This window comes from Homo sapiens, chromosome 22 (genome assembly GCF_000001405.40).
Source record: "Homo sapiens chromosome 22, GRCh38.p14 Primary Assembly".
NCBI lineage: Eukaryota > Metazoa > Chordata > Mammalia > Primates > Hominidae > Homo > Homo sapiens.
Window position 1 is genome coordinate 29,991,337 of NC_000022.11, and position 19,580 is coordinate 30,010,916.

Below are 19,580 nucleotides of genomic sequence, written 5' to 3' on the forward strand. Positions count from 1 at the left end.
TTTTCTTATAAGTGATAATGAGCATGCGAATGACTGACTGCCTCAGATGCTTTCTTGGTTGTAGTTCCCACTTCACTACGAGTGGGCATTCTTGAAATAATGGCTTTTCTTACATTTCATTTCAACTGTCTTCTGATTACATCCATACTTGTTTGGCTTTACAAAAGGTGTCAGTTTTCAACCTTTGAGCAGTGTCAAGAGTGGCTGAAGAGACTGAACAACGCAATCCGACCACCTGCTAAAATAGAAGATCTCTTCTCATTTGCATACCATGCTTGGTGCATGGAGGTCTATGCCAGTGAAAAAGAGCAACATGGAGACCTGTGCAGACCAGGTACGCCTTTCTGAAATGTGCAAATGGCCAGGGGCTTTATCAAGCTACTGATGGAGGTACTTTTAACATGAAATGGGACACCTAAGCATTCATATATCAATCAGTGTATATTTTAAGGAGCACCCAGCAAGTGCGCAGCATTCTTTTAAGCTTAATAGAACATCTTTTCTGCCTTCCGGGGAAGGGAAGAACACTAGAAGGCATCACAATCTATTGGGCCTAAAAACAGCTCAACTATAATAAGGTTTTATGAATAGTATGGAAGCCTGATAGAAAGGAGCCATGAGTTTTGTATACATGTGTGGGAAGACTTCACATTTAAAGTGGCTTTTGAATCAGCTTTGAAAGTTGAATAGGAGTTAATTGGTGAGAGGCCAGGTTCCTATCAAGAACAAATAGATAGTGGGGTTTGTTTTTTGTTTTTTTTGAGACGGAGTTTCGCTCTTGTTGCCCAGGCTGGAGTGCAATGGCTCAATCTCGGACCACTGCAACCTCCGCCTCTTGGGTTCAAGCAATTCCCCTGCCTCAGCCTCCTGTGTAGCTGGGATTACAGGCATGCGCCACCATGCCCGGCTAATTTTTTATTTTTAGTAGAGACGGGGTTTCTCCATGTTGGTCAGGCTGGTCTCAGGTGATACGCCCGCCTTGGCCACCCGGAGTGCTTGGATTTATAGGCGTGAGCCACAGCTCCTGGCCTAGATTATAGGTTTTAACATGTGACCCCCTCCCCCCCAAAAAAACCAAAAAGAGATGCTGAGCCTGTTCTGGAACCCAGGCTTCCTGACTCCTCTATAGTCTTTGTCCCCCTCACTGTCATTCTCCGTCAGAAATGGCTTTGACCATGTTATTTCTCTGCATGTAGTTTCTTGTAAACTTTATGTGGTCATAAAACTTTGCTGGTCCAACACTGACTTTTAGTGTGTCAGGTTTCAAAGTGAAGTCTTAAATTTCTGTGCAGTGAAAAGTTGTAAGCCTCCTTCAAGTAAAGTTTACTCTTGGGACTTTTTTCTAGAAACCTGAAATTTTAATCCTGAATCTTCAATCTTATAAGTCTGCCCTGGGTCATTTTAAACATTTGAGGCTAATCTTGCTATGCTTTTGTTACTTTGTTCTCTGGCCCCATGACTAATTGAAGCTTTTGGTTCACATTCTTGTTCTATTAAAATGCTTGTAGCATTAGCATTATCTTATGTTTAACAATGCTTTGATAAATACTTTTGTTTGATCCTCATGACCTTGTCAAACAGGCAAGATAGGTTGGTGTCTGTTTTGGGAGCCAAAGAAATGGAGGCTCAGAGGTAAAAAGCCTGTTGTCAAGTCCCAGTGCTAGTCACTGACGACAGAACTAGGACTTAAAACCAGTTCTCAGTTATTCAGACCTGACCATGGTGGATGCTGTGGATACAGAGTTTGAAAAACAAAAGCACCTGCCCTCTTGGAGCCTCAGGGAAAGCCTCAGAATCCCAGCTTCTCACAGGCGTGTCCAGGCTAGCAGAATCCTGTCACCTACGAGAGACCACACCAACCTTGGAAGTTTATGAGAATGTGCTTAAACTGTCTCTCACTTCACTCCGATTGTTACATCTATTTTTTTTCTTTATTGAAATGCCATCACATTTTAAATACATTTTTTCATTTTTTATGGCTCTTTTCAAATTTGGGGGTTTTTCTTAAAGAGAAAGTTTACAAACAGTGATGTGTACAAATCTTACATGTACAGTTTCTGAGTTTTTAACCATTGCATCTTCTTTATTAAATTTTTAGTTTCTACCATCTCCTAGGATAATGAACTTAATGAGTGCATCCTACTGCATTATGTTATATAAGAACTTTAATTTGTTTAAGACCCCTGACTCCAAGACCCCTGACTCCAAGAGGTATTCCCTAATTTTGGGTTGCCAGCATTTACTCAGCAAGATTTGCTTTCTCCTATCCTGTTCTCTCACAACCACAGACTGAAAAGTCCTTATCTTTTTAGGAGAGCTTTTTTAGTCCCTTGATAATTTGAGTTTCTTTTAGATTTCAGCAAACTCTTAGGATATTCCTGAGAGGTACCTCAGTCTAGTCTTTTAATTATGGGTGGCTCTGCCCTGAGGTGGGATGACTTTGGTCCCCAGACCCTTCCCCTTCCTGATGATATCTGGTATTCTTTGGCCATCAGGACATAAAGATATCTACAGTGTTCTCTGTCTTTTCGTAGGTTTGTGATGCAAGGGCATGTGAGGGGTAAAGTACTGACTTAGGAATTAGGAAACCTGAATTTAAATGCGTATTCTACGATTTAGTTGAAAAAAAGAACACTGGGCAAAGAATTTATGCTCTCTGTGCTTTAGTTTCCTTTGTGCTTTAAAGTGGGACATTCATGCTCTTCCTGCCCAGGCTGATCCAGGTATCCTGAAGATCAAATCTGTTAATGCTGCAGAGTTCAATTCAGTAAATGTTTAAGTGCCCCCTATGTGCCATGCTTATGAAAACACTTTGGAAATTATGCAACTACAAGGTAATGCAATCATAACTGTTTGGCTAGAGATTATGAGTAAGGGTTGCATTTTGTTTCTTCCCAGTATACACAGTCCACATTGATGTTAACCTGCCACCACTCAGCATGGAATCTTGTATTTCAGTGACTTGGTTGAATGTATGTGTATGTATGGCTTTTGCCTTTTATGTATATTCGCTGTGGAGTACAAAGGAAAAACTTGGTTTTAATTAAAAACAAACCAAAAAAAAAAAAAAAAAAACACCTCGAGGACATCCAGTCAACCTGTTTCTTTTGTCATTACCTCATGTTGTTGAGCAGTGGCGGTGTATATAGCATTACTCATCAAATATTAGCATACCAGACAACCACATACTTATAAGTCATCTTTAGGATGAGACAACACTTGGGATATTTCAAAGTCATGCCTTTTTATAATCTGCCCCAGTACATGATATCACAAGTGTAGACTCTGAGGGGTGGAAGTTAGTTTAATCTTATAGCAGTTAATAAAGCCTTTTATGGAGTCTTCTCTACCTAGCCTGCTAGAAGTAGAATGTATCAGAGAGGAGAGAAATGAGAAAATTACATAATTGTCTTAGTATTCATATAAATCTTAGTTTCTGGCTGTTGAACCGGTCATAGTTAAGCCGGCTGTACTGTGGTCACAGCTCTAAGGCTTAATCAGCTTTGGAAGAAGTTTCAACATTGCTGTTGGAGTTTACCTGTGAAACCTGCAGAAGCCTTTGCCAAATTCTTGACCCTTCTCTTAGCCCCTCAAACTCTAAAAAAGTGGACTGAAAGCTAAAAGCTTCTCTCCCATGTCCTTAACTTCCTGCTCCTCATTGCAATTGACTTGTTGGTGATGGCTCTGTACTAGAGTGTTAATCTGGAGGCCTGACAGATGACTGGGCAGCTTAGCTGCCAGTTTAGTAGCATCAGGCCTACCTCTCTAACCTCTCTCATGTGAAATGTCCCTTAAGCCCATCTTGTTTATCCACGACTAGCATATGACTCTGGGTCTTAACACTGCTGTGAAGCTGCCTATTTATCTGTCTTCCGGGTTTGAATGCAGTCCAGGAAGTTGCATCTAGAGGATTTACTGTGACCTTTGTACATAGAAAAGCATAATTCCTTTCTCCGTATTTGAAAATCTGCTAAGAGGTAGTTCTTACCTTCTCTGACTCTGGTATTGGTCTGCTTCCTCACCTGCCAGGTAAAGGCCTGTCCCTTCTGTCCCAGGCCTTTTAAGCTGTGTGTAATTGTGGGCTTGACTACTCAGGATCAGCCAGGGAGCTAGACTTTTGGGGGAAAATTTTTTAGATTGCTGATTGACACTGTGTTTGTGATAGAGGGAGTTAGGGAACTTCATTGCTTTTAAAAAGAAAGTTTTCATTTCCACTAAAGTGAAAATTGCTGGACTGTATTATTTTTATTATAAGAAACACTAAATGCTGAAAAGGGACAAAGGCAGATAGGAAGGGTTGAAATGGAAATATAAAGCCAAACAAAAACCTTATAGCCCCAGTATTTAAAGAAAGTTGGGATATCACAATGTATTTAATGTTGAATTGATTGAGACCTGAGAATTCTGAGATGGAGATTTTTAAGGGGAATCCAGCAATAGATCTGTTTGTGTTTATTTTTCTGGCTAAGTAAACGTGAGTGAACATCTCACACAATTTGCAAAAGCTGGTTGAATTCCTGATGTATGTAATGATGTGGTTTTCAAATAGGTTATGATCCAGTAGTGGGTCATGAAATCTAATTTTAAAGAAATGGAATAGAAAATATCAAATTGTGTCACACACATATTAAGAGTGGGTATTGTTTTGTGAAATGCTTTCAAAAAAATAATGTATGTTGTATTAGCTGGGCACAGTGTCTACCTATAGTCCTAGCTATTCAAGAGGCTGAGGTGGGAAGATTGTTTGAGTTTAGGAGTTCAAATCCAGCTTAGGCAACAGAGGGAAAACCCGGTCTCTCAAAAACTGAATAAATTAAAACATGTTTGTTGTATTGTGTTGTAAAACATAATTCTTATTGTGGGTTGTGATGGTCAGTTTCAGAGTTTATGAAGTCACTGCCTTAGAGGATATAAAAATAATTAAAACTCATTCCCATTCCCAAAGAACTCGAAATAACAGATTTTCTATACCTGCTAGTCAGTATATATTTCTGCGTATAGCTCAGAATGTTGTGCTCTGGATGGTGGTTCTAAGTCCTTCTTTGGGGAAATGGTTCTATGAAGTAAATTGCTAGTGATAGTGATTGTTACTGTTATTATTTTGCCAGTGGTTATTTTTAAATCACAAGATCCTTTAAGGGTATCTATGTGTTTTATCCTGAGATAGAGGTGTTAATGTAAAAGATCATTAATGTACAGTTCAAGAAAAGCACAAAAAAAATAAATCATTAATGAAATACTTACAGCTTTTGCAAAGACTTGGAGCTATATCCCAGAGTCGGGGGAAAAAATCTCTTAATGAACTTGGAATTTGCCACAGTTTTGCAGCTTTTAGATTGGGATTATGAATTAAAGACTCCTTGTCTGTTTTTTTTGTTCGTTTTGTTTTGTTTTTTTCCCCTTTTTTTGAGACAGGGTCTCACTCTGTTGCCCAGGCTGGAGTGCAATGGTGTGATGATGGCTCACTGCAGCCTCAACTTCCCTAGGTTCAGGTGATCCTCCCACCTCAGCCTCTCAAGTAGCTGGGACTATAGGCATGGACCACCACAACTTAATTTTTGCATTTTTGTGGAGATGGGGTTGCCCATGGGGTTGACCAGATGTTGCCCAGGCTGGTCTTGAACTCCTGGGCTCAAGCAATCTGCCTGCATCAGCCTCCCAAAGTGCTGGGATTACAGGTGTGAGGCACCGCGTCTGGCCTAGTATTCTTGATGGTCAATATTCCTTGCAATTTGTAGACAGATGGCACCCCAATTCAGATAGTTTTTTCCTGTTTGGAAGCCTGCTACATTGCTTCTAAAACTTTTCCAAAATGGGATGGATTTAGTTTTTATTTCTTCTTGCACCTCATATTCTCTCAACCTCATCTTTTTATAGCTCTCCTTCAGGAAATGTATAATACCTAGCTTGAGCTCAAGAAAAGCAGTTTAAATGGGAAGTAGTTTAACAGAATTGTCTTCCATCCAAGTAATTGCTGTTTCCTATTCTGTAGCTCCTCTCCCAGGGAGAACAAAGCTTTATACTCTGAACACTAAAGTGAAATCTGTTTTGTGCTTTTGTTGTTGTGGTTTCTTCCAGCCCTGCTAGCACTTATTTTACAACCTGTACCACTATATATTAGAGGTTCTGCTTAATATTTTTTAAAATAACATGCTGCCCTAGGACTGTGTATGTTTTCAAGGAAGAAAGTTATTTTAGATTTACTGAATTTATGTTAGCTTCGTTTCTACCTCTGTTTTGCTTTTTTAAGGAAGATAAAGCCAGATTCATTAGGGCAAATATAGCCAGATTATACCAGCTTGGGTGGCTGTTCTTGCAAATAATCAGCACTTAGTAGTATGGTGTTTCCTGAGATTCCTGGCTGGCAGTTATGATTCCATGACCTGTTAACCTGCCATCATCTAAAAGGCTCTGGAAACCAGAATGTTTTTCATACCCTATTTGGTGTCTTGGCTGGACCTGATCTGAGCTGACATGAGGCTATTTGTTGCTTTATTTATCCCACCTGGTATGAATGATCTATACCTTTCACGAAAGAAATATTAATATTTGTTTAAGGAGATCTTGTTAAGCATGTGAGCCTAATATTATATTCGCTGTCTTACCTTAACGAAAGTTTGGAAAACTCTCAAGTTCTAAAATTTGGACCAAAGGGTTTTGGATGAGGAATTATAGTTCTGTATTGCTACTCGTGGTGATCTTGTTATTGATTTTATTTCTTATTAAGTGTACTGTCAGTCTGAGTGTGGAAGTAGGCAAGTAGCCAGTGTAGGACAAGAGCATGGCTTCTGGGGCCAGACAGGCCTGCCATAATAACCTGTTTTAATTTTGTCCTTTGTAAAATGAGCTCAGTGATACTGTTCTCAGAGATGATTGTAAGGGTTAGATGAGATAACATAACTCTTGATCAGAATTAATTTCTTTCCTCTTTATAATCTTAACCTGACAGGGATCTTTCTAAACTAAAACTATATAATATATGTTACTTTATTATTTATACAATTCTTACCTTTAAAAATACACAGGCTGGGCGCAGTGGCTCACGCCTGTAATCCCAGCACTTTGGGAGGCCGAGGCGGGCAGATCACATGAGGCCAGGAGTTCGAGACCAGCCTGGCCCATGTGGTAAAACCCCATCTCTACTGAAAGTGCAAAAATTAGCCAGTCATGGTGGCATGCACCTGTAATCCCAGCTATTTGGGTGGCTGAGGCACAAGAATCACTTGAACCTGGGAGGCGGAAGTTTCAGTGAGCTGAGATCACACCACTGCACTCCGGCCTATGTGACAGAGTGGAATCCTGTCTCAAAAAATATATATATATTTACATATATGTAACATATGTATATTTCTTTGTTTTTATTCCACCTGTTTTGCAAAATGGTATTCATTTCTTCCTTTCTGCTGTTTATCTTTGGCCTCTAGGGGAGCATGTAACTTCAAGGTTTAAAAACGAGGTGGAGAGGATGGGTTTTGATATGAACAACGCCTGGAGGATTTCCAACATCAATGAGAAGTACAAGTGAGTTATATGGGTCCCTGTGGACTGTTTCACAGCCAGTGCCTTTGCAGAAACCGCAATTCTCATGTGGCAGAACATTTGAACTTAGACTTTTTATTTGAAATGGTTTTATTTATTAAATCTAAAGGCATGATCTTCAGAGTATTTATTGAATCTTCTGTTCCCGTTGCTATCATTGGAGTGGAAAGTGATCCTTACTTAACAGGATCCTAGAACCTTCCCTTTTACCCCCTCTAGGCCTCTGTTTTTTCTGGTACATGCATGTCTAAATAATATTGTATTTGCCTGTAGGCAGGCAGTTACCATTTTTCTCATCACCACTTGGCATCACATTAGAGAGAGGATCAGTGGTCTCATAAGCAGTGACAGAACATTTATGAACTAGTTTTTATGACTGTAATTTTACTCCAGGTGGTGTGAAATAGACATAAGTACAGTTGAGTATCCCTTATCTGAAATTCTTGGGACTGTAAATATTTCAGATTTTGGATTTTTTTCAGGTTTTGGAATATTTGCATGAACATAATGAGATTATCTTGGGCCTGGGACCCAAGTCTAAACACAAAATTATTTGTCTCATATACACATTATACAGCTGGAAGGTAATTTTGTACAATATTTTAAATAATTTCATGCATGATGTTTTTTACGAAAAGTTTTGACTGTGACTTGACTGTGACCCATCACATGAGGTCAAGTGTAGAATTTTCCACTTGTGGCATTATGTCAGCACTCAAAGTTTTGGATTTTGGAGCATTTCAGATTTTTGGATTAAAGATGCTCAGTCTGTATTATTCTGTCCTTTAATATATTGATCTAAAACCAACTTCACTGCTATGATCATTTAACCATTAAATATTAATGTAACCTTTATTTGGCTGGACATGGTGGCTCACACCTGCAATCCCAGCACTTTGGGAGGCCAAGGCAGATCAGCTGAGGTCAGGAGTTCGAGACCAGCCCAGCCAACATGGCGAAACACTGTCTCTACTAAAAATACAAAAATTAGCTGGGCGTGGTGGTGCATGCCTGTAGTCCCAGCAACTTGGGAGGCTGAGGCAGGAGAATTGCTTGAACCTGGGAGGTGGAGGTTGTAGTGAGCTGAGATTGCACCACTATATTCCAACCTGGGTGATAGAGTGAGACTCTGTCGCAAAAAAAAAATTAATGTAACCATTTAGCCATTACCCAGTTCCTTAAAATGTGTAAGTGCGTTGGTGGGGGAGGACAGTTAACTACTATGATTTTGGTGATCCAAATTTCTATAAAACAAAATTGTCCATGATAGTTAAATATCTTAAATCTTTAACTATATCCTTCTTGGCCAGGCGCGGTGGCTCACGCCTGTAATCCCAGCACTTTGGGAGGCTGAGGCAGGAGGATCATGAGGTCAGGAGATCGAGACCATCCTGGCTAACACGGTGAAACCCCGTCTCTACTAAAAATACAAAAAATTACCCGGGCATGGTTGCAGGTGGCTGTAGTCCCAGCTACTGGGGAGGCTGAGGCGGGAGAATGGCATGAACCTGGGAAGCGGAGCTTGCAGTGAGCTGAGATTGTGCCACTGCACTCCAGCCTGGGCAACCGAGCGAGACTTTGTCTTAAAAAATAAAAAAAATAAAAAAAAAAAATATATATATCCTTCTCCTACGTTTCCCTGCATCATTAATCATTCTGCGGTCCTCTTAGCTGTCTCAAATTATGACGGGCATTTTCCTGGTCTGTTTGTGGCTAGCCGTCAGAGTTTTCACTGGAAAAGCTATAGCTAATTGCTATACACAGTTCTTAATGTGGACCTTCTCCAGGGAGTTGAGAACCCAGGGTGTTTTGAAGAGTTGGAGCTGCAGACTTTTTATACTTTTGCCTGTTCTCAGTGATGAGTCAAAGCAAAGAAGGAGGGTGAATGCTGGATGAGGGGGCGGCCTCAGAGAGCCTGTGGCTGCATTAGGCTTTCCTGAGTGTAACCTATACTGGAAATTGTTTATCCACAAGTGAGTAGGTAGTGCATACTGAAGAGCTGACTACTGGGAGTGTAGTACCTATAGGACAATGAACAGAATGTTTAGAAAATTAGATCAAGTAAAAAAAAACTGTGAATTAAGACAGACTTGTTGGAAAATAATCCCCAATTCGGCTTTTAAAAATTAACTTCTTGAGAGGCCAAGATAGAGGATTGATTAAGCCCAGGAGTTTGAGACTAGGCTGGGCAACATAGTGAGACCTCATCTCTACAGAAAATTTCTTAAAAATTTGGCCAGGCATGGTGGCTCATTCCTCTAATCCCAGCACTTTGGGAGGCCGAGGCGGGTGGATCACGAGCTCAGGAGATCGAGACCATCCTGGCTAACACAGTGAAACCCCGTCTCTACTAAAAATACAAAAAAATTAGCCAGCGTGGTGGCGGGCGCCTGTAGTCCCAGCTACTCAGGAGACTGAGGCAGGAGAATGGCGTGAACCCGGGAGGTGGAGCTTGCAATGAACCGAGATCATGCCACTGCATTCCAGCCTGGGCGACAGAGCGAGACTCCATCTCAAAGAAAAAAAAATTAGTTGGGCATGGTGGTGCATGCCTGTAGTCCCAGCTACTGGGGAGGCTGAAGTAGAAGAGTTGTTTGAGCCCAGGAGGTCGAGGCTGCTGTGAGCCATGACCGCTCCACTGCTCTCTAGCCCGGGTAACAGAACAACTGTCTCAAGGAGTTTACCAGTTATACCTCAGAACCAGTCTTTAGGATGTTATCACCACCATAAAACAAAATGGGGGGTGGTGGGAAACAACAGGATGTTGAAAGTTCTTCCTACTACAAAGGTAGAAGAGTGAGAGCCAAGTTTACTCTTGAGTTTAATACATAATAAAGGGAATGAGATTCATGGTTAGATATTAACCATCATTACTGGCTCCCAGCTTATTTTTAGGAGTTTGTGAATAGGTGTTAGGAAGTTTGTATAGCTACTCTTAGTCATAGCCATTCTCTTTTGTTCAGTGGCTTTTAAATTCCTGAAAATTCCAGAAGTCTCCTCTTCTGGAAATTGAGGAGAGATTTAGTGCAAAATGATCAAAACCCCCAAATCCTAAGCCATTTTGTGTTTTTCTGCGCTTTCTGCTATGTATAGGATAGGCTAGGGCAGGGGGTTGGTGGTGTTGGTGGAGTTTGTGTGTTTTAGGATTTGGATTAAAGGCCTTATTGCCTTCACTATTGAAAAAAGAAGATTGGATTATCCAGAGAGAGACATTGTCCTGTAAGTAAAAATCTATCGGAAGTATTGCTTCCTAGGATACCGGCTTGACTGTAGCTGGGATCTTCCCTAATTAAAAGAAAGCTTATCCCCCCGCCCCCAGTATAATTTGTTCTGAAGTATGTTTTATGGAAATTATGGTTAATAGCTTAGTCACATTACTAACCTGGTTCAATGGGACTGAGGCTGTGTATGCAGATAGACTGGCTTGTGTTGGTTTTGCATACCCATGGCTGCACCTGTTACCTATAAGGATGACACCCTGTTTGGTTCAAATCAAAGAATGAGTTAATCCTGTGAAGTCTCTGGAAACTTGCAATTGTGGGCTTTTTTCCTTCCCTGAGGGTCTGGTAGAACTGACACGGACTCTCAGTTCTGTAATTGGACTGGGCGCTCATGTAGTTAGAAATAACCTATGTACTTGTTACAGCAGAAGAGTTGTAATGGAGTATAAAGAGCTGACCCTCGACTCCCCTTTTTTTCATTGATAGTTAAGATTGCCAGATTCCCAAAAGGTAGCATCAAGTGGAACAATTCAAGATAGTATCATTTGTTGTATACACATAAGTAAACATTTAAGGCAACAAAACAAAACAAAACACACTTATGGTAACCCATTCTGTTGAGGAGTCCAAAACTCGAATAAAGCGCCTCATTGCCTTTAACTGGTTCTGTGGCAGTGAGATCATCATCCTTATGCTGGCTCACCTAGTGTCTCTCTCTCTCTCCCGTTTTCTCTCTCCCTCTCTTATCCCCTTGACTCTCCCCACTTCTCATCTTCTCTTTAGATTATGTGGTAGCTATCCTCAAGAGCTCATAGTGCCTGCCTGGATCACTGACAAAGAACTGGAAAGTGTATCAAGTTTCAGGTCCTGGAAGCGCATCCCTGCCGTCATCTACAGGTAAGTTAAACTGGACCAGTCCCAGCTTGGGCTGGTGCTGCTGCCTGCTGCATATGGTCTGCTGCCTCTGCTGCTGCTAACCTGGGAAGGGTGGGGAGAGTTCAGAGAACTTTCTAGGCAAGGCTGTACTTCCTTATTGTTAAAGCTTCTCCTCCAGTAACACATCAGTACTGACTGCATTCAGAACACTAGCTGGTTGTTCATTTGAAACAGATAAGAAAGTTTTAGTTGTAAAGTGGCTGGACTTGCTATTTCAATATCCTTCTTACATTCTGTGAGAAGATAATGTGCTTACTAAGCATTTAGCTTCAGCTGTTAGCAGGGCTTTTGGATTGAGAGATGAGTCTTAGAAAGTGATCTTTGGGAATATAGGGTCGAGTTGGCTCTGATTGTCTTTGTGGTTGAAACTTTGACATGTGGAAGAACTCTGTTTCGAGAGGAAGCATTTAGAGAAGAAGACTGAGGCATGACTAGATAGAAGATTTCAGTGATCAGAGGCATGAGAGCCATGGGATGCAAGTTCTAGATGGGGATGGTGGCATGGTGATGGAGCACAGATTTTGGAATCACAGATCTGAATTCAGGTATATTCTTAGACTTCTTGCTAAGGCACCTTGAATAAGTTCCCTAACTGACCTCAGTCTGTTCCTAATGAATACAATGGGAATGGTAGTTCTTATTTTGTAGATATGTTCTGATTCTAAATGAGGGGCTATAAACACTGAGCTTCTGTACCAGCATTTGGAATAGGTTAAATCTCTTGAGTGCTGCTTTTGTAATTCATTGAATATCTTAGTTCTCACAGAATCCTATTAAATTTTAAAGAAGTCCTTCCTTCTTATTCTGGAAATGTTTTGGATGTCATCTCTTTGTAATGTTTACATTCTCCATTTCATTTTCCCAGTTTGCCGGCTTTTTGGACTCTCCCTGAGTTGGGCCAATCCAGTGGCTTACAGTTAGAAACTTCATTCCACTGAAATATTGAGATTGTAGGAAGGGATTTGTCTCCTTGTGGAATTCCTACAGAGGTAACCAGCTTGTTCATTTAGTCTACTAAAGGCAAACTCTGATGCCCACTCTGAATGGAGAGAGATGGAAAAGTATTTGCTCTGGCCCAGTGGAACTCATTACGTTTTTAATCTCAATTCTCATCACTGTTGTTTTCAGACACCCCTAGAAAAGTCAGTCACCAAATTTACCTGTCATTCAAGTGGTAAGGATGCTACAGGAACTAGAGAGTAGTGAAAGCTGAAGGGATTTATGAGTCTTATCAATGATCAGCTCAGCTGGAATGGGGAAAGCAGCCAGTTGCTGCTCTGGCCAACAACTGTGTTAGGTCAGCAGCCCTGGCATCTGTGGGGCTTGCTGACTTTGACCAAAAGGGGGAAGGTACTCTTATTTGCAAAATAAGAGGCTTTAGGTGAATTCTCCCTTTGGGAAGAGAAGCTTAAGAGGGCTGGTTGAAGAAAAACTTCCTTTTTTTCTAAATTTTATTCTAGAGGGCATGCACCTTCTAAAATTAATTCTAGAGGGCATGCACCCTAGGTTTTCCCCCCCTTTTTCTAGAGATACAAGAGGATATATAAATGAAAAATTTTATTTGCAGTTTTTCAGAGAAAGTCTTTCAAAAGATCACAAAGTTCTTGGTGTAGTCATCCATGCAAAATCAGGCAGGTTTCCTGGAACTGGGCTCTGTCTCAGAACATGTGTCTTGTATCGCTGAGATGCAGACTGGGTTGCTGTAGTATTTGGGAGCTTTGTAAGGGGCGTGTGGAAGAATCGGATCCTCCACCATGCTCTGCTTTGCCAGCCTAGGTGGCAGGATGCCTGGAACTCTTGACATCCATTTCCTGAATTTAGTTGTCTGTAGATTGGGTCATGATTCCTGAGGTTGCCAGCAGCAGTTACTTGACAGCACCATGCTGAACCAGCGCTTGATTAGGGCTTTGTCCTACTGTGATGAGAGAGCACTTAATTGGATTTATAACTGAAGGTAGAGATTGCTCTAACATAGCAAGATGATGTAAAGGGCACCCATCTGTAGTGCAGTTCACAGCTTTTTCCTTTGTGCATGTGGTGATTATTCTAAACTCCTAGTTACTTAAGGGAGCTTGCCTAAATCTAAGTTGAGGTTACTTAAGACAATTCTGTTCCTATATAAAATTGAAGCATTCTGTGTTTTAGTAGGGAGGGCTTTATCTGTTGGACATCATAATTTTTATACTTTGCCTGGTTCTGTTAGTGATAGAAATGCATTCCTTTAGTGATTTTTAACTGTAGTGTTTGAATTATCTTTCATGTAGTCTGAAGCATTTTAGAAGACTGCAGAAAACATAATTGTTTATTGCAATAGTCCAGTTGAAATCTAATAGCTACTATAATGCAGTGTCCCCTAAAACCCAAGATCCAGGCTGAAGAGCGCCATCTACTGCTCCTCTTGGGCACTGCTGGGAAGCATTGAAGAAGAGGAGGATGTTCAGGAAAGGCCCAACCAGCCTCTTGTGCAGGGTTTGGAGTCATTCAGCTCAGTGGTTGCCTGTTATTTGCTAGGAGACATTTTATAAAGAATCATTGAGGTTTTATTTCTATTTTGGCCCCATTCAGCACGTGAGCCAGTTGAGCATGTTGGCAATACACAAGTACTTACAGCTACTTGTCTCCCAGGGAGGGAGGCTTTAAAAACTACAAGCAAACTGGTGATTTCAGTGGAATTTGATTAGTGCCAAATTTAACTTATTTGTGAGTTTTAGGAGTAAAAACAAATTACAGTACATTTTCATCGTCCCAAAAAACCCATTCACAGGGCACCCAGCCACCCTAGCCCTGAATAATTAAGATGTCCAATGGATGAAGCCCCTGCTAGTAAAACATAGAGTGCTTCAGTTTTATATAGAAACATACTCGTTTTAAGTAACCCCAACTTAGAATTAGGCAAGCTCCCTTAAGTAACTACGAGTTTATAATAGTCACTACATGCAGAAATCTACTTCCATCTTTATAGATTCGCCTATTCTGGATACTTCATGTTAATTGTCGTACAATAAGTTGCCTTTTGTGACTGACTTCTTTCACTTGTCATAACATATTTGAGGTTCATCAGTGTCCTAGCCTGTATCAGAACTTTATTCCTCTTTACTGCCAAGTAATAGAATTTTTCTAACTTTTTATCAGTTAAAATTGCCTAACTAGGAAAAGTCTGGGTTTTAATAGCACCTTAAAGTAGACTGTGATTTCTGGTCTGTCTTATTGGAAAAGGATATGTCAGAGTATGGTTTTCTGAGGTTGATGCTCTTCTTCTCTTTCTTAAGAGCCCTAGGAAGGGTAGCTGGCTCATTGAGCTATCTGCCTATTATAAGAGCAGTCTGTGACTCATGAAATCTCAGGAGATTTTGTAAAGCAGTTCACTGTGGGCCAGGTAAATGTTTTATTCCCAGAGGCGGGCTCTTGGTTCAGCATTAAGAAGGTAGCAGATTTCACTATTGGGTAGCAGAATTAGTGTAGTACCTATAGATTTAAGTTACGAATATTGATTTATTTTCACTAAGAGTACACATTAATTCTTTTTTGTTTTTTGGAAATGGGGTCTTGCTCTGTCACCCAAGCTGGAGTGCTGGAGTGCAGTGGCACAATCATAGCTTTCTGCAACTTCAGCCTTCTGGGTTCAAGGGATCCTTCCACCTCAGCCTCCTGAGTAGCTGCGACTACAGGCATGTGCTACCATGCCTGGCTAATTTGTAAAAACTTTTTTGTAAAGATGGGGTCTTGCTATGTTGCTCAGGCTGGTCTTGAACTCCTGGGCTCAAGTGATCCTCCTGCCTCAGCCTCTCAAAGTGCTGGGATTGCAGAGTGAGCCTCCATGCCTGACCCCTGTTAGTCATTTTTTTGGGTAACTTTACAGGGATCTCCGTGATGTTATGGTAATTGAGAAAGACACACAGGTTTTGTTGTTTGTTCTTGTTGGTTGTGTAAGATTTCTACCCTCTTTAATACTGAGAGGACTTGAAGCTGACCCAACACTTACCTAGAATTAGACTGTTCATTAAGGCACTTAAAATCTATTTTGTGTGAGTACAGAGAGCATCTGAATGGGTACAGTTGTTGTCTCTTGTTCCTCACACAGGCACCAGAGCAATGGAGCTGTCATTGCCCGCTGTGGACAGCCAGAGGTTAGCTGGTGGGGCTGGCGAAATGCAGATGATGAGCATCTGGTACAGTCAGTAGCCAAAGCTTGTGCCTCTGACTCCCGATCGAGTGGCAGCAAGCTGTCAACTAGGAACACTTCTCGAGACTTTCCCAATGGGGGAGACCTTTCTGACGTGGAGTTCGGTAAGGTGCTCCCTGGACCCATGGCAATGATTTTTATAGCATCTAAGAACCTTTTCTTGAAATGGCCTCTTCCTTACAAGACATAGATTTACTTTTATAGAAGTGAATGTGCAGAGCTTCACTTGATGGGATTGATTGAGGAGTCATGGGTCTTGGCAGAGAATCAGAAGACCCTTTGTTTCAAACCTGAATCAAGATATTAGTGTGTTTGTTGTCTTTCTTGCCATTGTGACAAAAATGGAGTGTTTATGTAATAGAGGACTTGCAGTATCTGCAGACCATGGCAGGAAATGCCAGGCTTCATGAAAGGACAACAGATACAGAAATGAAGTATAAGAGACTGGGCTGTGTGAACCCCATGTGTACTCTGGGAGTCAGTTTTGGAGAATAAATCCTTCTCATCTTTCATAAGAAGGCCACATAGAAAAAAAGAGAAAAATCCTATGTATCAAGGGTTTTGGTTAGGGGATTTCATTTTATTGAGCCTTTTTTGTGCCATAAGATGTGCTTGTGGGTCTAATTCTGCACAGTTCTGGGAGAGACAGGCTCATTTAGTATGCCCTCTCCCTCTGTGTCCCTAGATTCTTCTCTGTCAAATGCTTCAGGAGCAGAGAGTTTAGCCATCCAACCGCAGAAGCTTTTGATCTTGGATGCACGCTCCTATGCAGCTGCTGTGGCAAACCGAGCCAAAGGAGGAGGCTGCGAATGCCCAGGTGAGGTGTATGGTGCTTTGTTCCCCATACTTTCTCCTTGTGAGTGTAGCCCTTGCCCAACTGAGACTTAGTTCCCAATTTGAAATAAGTGGCAAGCCATATTCCTCATCCATCCTGTCGTGAGAGTGCCAGAGCTTCTCTTTGGATTCTTAACACTGTATGTTCTTTTCTGAGGAGAAATGGAGGAGGAGGTGCAGTGAAGTCACATAATCTTCCTTCCTTGTGCCAACTTGTAGGTGATAAGGAAAGCAGATCTTCCCCATAATAAGACCTGTTCATGTTTGGAAGCTGCTGCTTTAGTGGGCTCAATTTCTCAGCCGTCTAAAAGCTTTTTGTTGCCTTTGACAGAGGGTATGCTCACCACTGGCCTTGTAGCAAACTCCTCAAGGGCCTCTCCTTAGAAAACCTGGGGTGAAAATTGAAGCAGTAAATACAGAACCCTAGTAAGGTATCTCTGTCCTGAGCTGTAACACCATTACTGTTGGAATGCTAGCTTTCCCCAAGGAGGGACCCCCCTCAGTGCCTATGGCACAGGCAGAGGCACCAGGCTCTTTGTTCAGATGTGGTCTAAGCTGGAAATTGAAAGCAGCTGTACCAAGGTGAAATTTGAATGTGTGAACGCATTGTTCTGTGGAGTTCTTTTCAAAGAGATTTCAAAGCCACAAGTTAGATAAGGCCCAAGAAGTAAAGCCAGAGTGAGATCGAAGTAGGCCTTTCTTTTAAAAAATAATAGCTTTTATTTTATGTCAGTATCTTCTTTACAAATCTAACCTTCCCTTTTCACGCTTTTTGAAAAGATAGCTAAAATTCAGTGTGTTCCTCTTATTATAAAGGATTGGGCTAATAGTTAAGCATTTCAAAACATTTCAGTTTCGTTAATCAGAAGCTGCAGTGGGTTTGTTTTATAGCCAGTTTGCTTTTAAATTTGGCCATGTGGGCTTTAAGTTCAACGTATTTGTGTTCTCTTTATTGTTACTCTCTCCAGAGTATTACCCAAACTGTGAAGTTGTGTTTATGGGGATGGCAAACATTCATTCTATTCGGAGGAGTTTTCAGTCTCTGCGGTTGCTGTGCACTCAGATGCCAGATCCGGGAAAGTAAGTCCTTGGCCTTGGCTTTCATTTTGCATTGCTCTTAAATAATAAGTTTGCTTCTTTCCTTGAACTAAGGGGGAAAAAAAGAAAAAAAAATTAATTTGGAGCAGTCTTTCCTTCTGTTTCTTGGTAATCTTCAGTTACCAGACCAGTCTCTGCAAGTATCTCCTTGCTGGGTCTGAAATGTGGCAGCACAGAGGAAGAGTTGGGAGAAAATACAGCCATTTGAAAGGTTTTAAAATCTGCAGCACAGAAGAAATCTCAGCATCAAAACAGAAGCATTACCTTACTGTTTGTCCTGGGACCTTTCCCTTCCACGTCATTTTTAGCCCAAAGAAATTTAATTCTTCAGTTTCTGATGTCCCATAGTGATACATAACCTGTTTTGAACTGGGATGTTTTATCATGAAAAGTCAGAATTTATTCATCATGTTCTAAAGGGTTTAAACTTGCCATTAAGTCAGTTCCTTTTACATCTGCTTTCAATTTCTAAACTGTTCTCATTTACTAAGCATATTATCCTGATTCTTATTGCTTATTAAATATGAATGGCTGGCATTTGCAGTGAGGAAGGTGAACTAATACCCCCTCCAAGGGTACTGATTGAATACAAGATAAATTAGGAAGAATGCTCTGTAAAACAAATATGGACAGATAAGTATTTAAAAATCCTGTTTTACTATTTCAGGAAGCCAGAGATAGGTGCCAGAGAAGACAGAATTTTCTTTTTTCTGGTATTTGTGCTGGAGCCCATAGTTGTTTCTCTGGGTCCTATTCAGTAGATCTGATGATCACATCAAGTTTTACTGCGTTCTTTATTTGATTTATTAAATCAGATGCTGCCTAAACCACTTATATTGACTGCCAGTAGCAAATGATTAAATTCACCGTAGTTGTCATCAGCCAAGAGGATGAAGCAGTGCCTTTGGGGAAAGCCTGACCGGAGAATTGAGCTTGCTGCCTCCTTTGGGGATTAGCCATTTGCATTTGCTACACAGTTCCAGGTCCCAGCTAGCAGCGCTTTCTTCCCTAGGGTGGTATGTAGAAGGAGCCTTACTAAGGACCCAGGAGATCGGCCGCGAACTGTGTAACCTTGGCCAAGGGGTTTAACTACTGTAGATCTCAGTTTTCCTGTCTATAAAATGAAAGACATGTAATCAACACTACATGATCTAATACCCTCCATATATTAAAATTCTTAAAGAGCTATCAGAGTCAAAAAAGATAGAATTAGCCCTCACCTGGTCCACATAAATGTCTTGGGGATTTTATTAAAGGTAATGCTTTTATGTATTTGGCAGCAAATCATAATGCTGCACTGAAGTCTCCCTCATGGGTAAAAAGCAGCTGTAGCAGTGATGGGCAGCTGTAATTAGGCCCCCGGCCTGTGTTTGGGGCTGTGGAGGATAGGGGAATGGTAGGCTTCTAGTGCAGGTTGAGAACAGGACAAGGGAATGGGGAGTCTCTCAGCAGCCCCTCCTTGGCTGGCAGGTTTTGGAGTACAGCTTCATTAGTCACAGACAACACCAACTGGTATTAAATAATAGTTTAGTTAGGTTCAAAAGAACCTCACACCGGTTCTCTTGTTTACCATTTCTTCAGGTGCTAGGAGATAATTTAGTATTTGTTCTCCTAAGCCTTATCTTTTAGTTCCTTTCAAGAATATGTGAGGAATGAAATAAACAATTGATCCATCAGGAAAAAATGTTTCTCAGGTACCTGCTAGGAGATAGAAAGTCTTACGATTGGATTTTTACCCATAACAGACTTACAATTCATTAAACAGTGGG

The 19,580-nt window shown here is 41.0% G+C and overlaps 1 protein-coding gene, 1 long non-coding RNA gene and 1 other non-coding gene across 5 annotated transcripts in view; 2 read left to right on the forward strand and 1 right to left on the reverse strand.

The window, feature by feature from the left end:
* MTMR3 (myotubularin related protein 3) overlaps positions 1-19,580 on the forward strand; it is a 147,695-nt gene that overhangs the window by 108,163 nt on the left and 19,952 nt on the right. For all 3 annotated transcript variants that reach the window (NM_021090.4, NM_153050.3, NM_153051.3), the window contains exons 7-12: positions 168-334; positions 7,425-7,521; positions 11,544-11,657; positions 15,778-15,983; positions 16,565-16,696; positions 17,682-17,793. In NM_021090.4, coding sequence (NP_066576.1) covers positions 168-334; positions 7,425-7,521; positions 11,544-11,657; positions 15,778-15,983; positions 16,565-16,696; positions 17,682-17,793 — 828 coding nt within the window. The remainder of the gene's footprint in view (positions 1-167; positions 335-7,424; positions 7,522-11,543; positions 11,658-15,777; positions 15,984-16,564; positions 16,697-17,681; positions 17,794-19,580) is intronic.
* On the forward strand, positions 15,713-15,777 carry MIR6818 (microRNA 6818). The gene has a single exon (NR_106876.1). It is a non-coding gene; the product is annotated as a microRNA 6818 (primary transcript).
* Positions 17,410-19,580, reverse strand: part of HORMAD2-AS1 (HORMAD2 and MTMR3 antisense RNA 1) — a 71,512-nt gene continuing 69,341 nt past the window's right edge. The window contains exon 5 of the long non-coding RNA NR_110541.2: positions 17,410-17,860. This is a non-coding gene — a long non-coding RNA (HORMAD2 and MTMR3 antisense RNA 1). The remainder of the gene's footprint in view (positions 17,861-19,580) is intronic.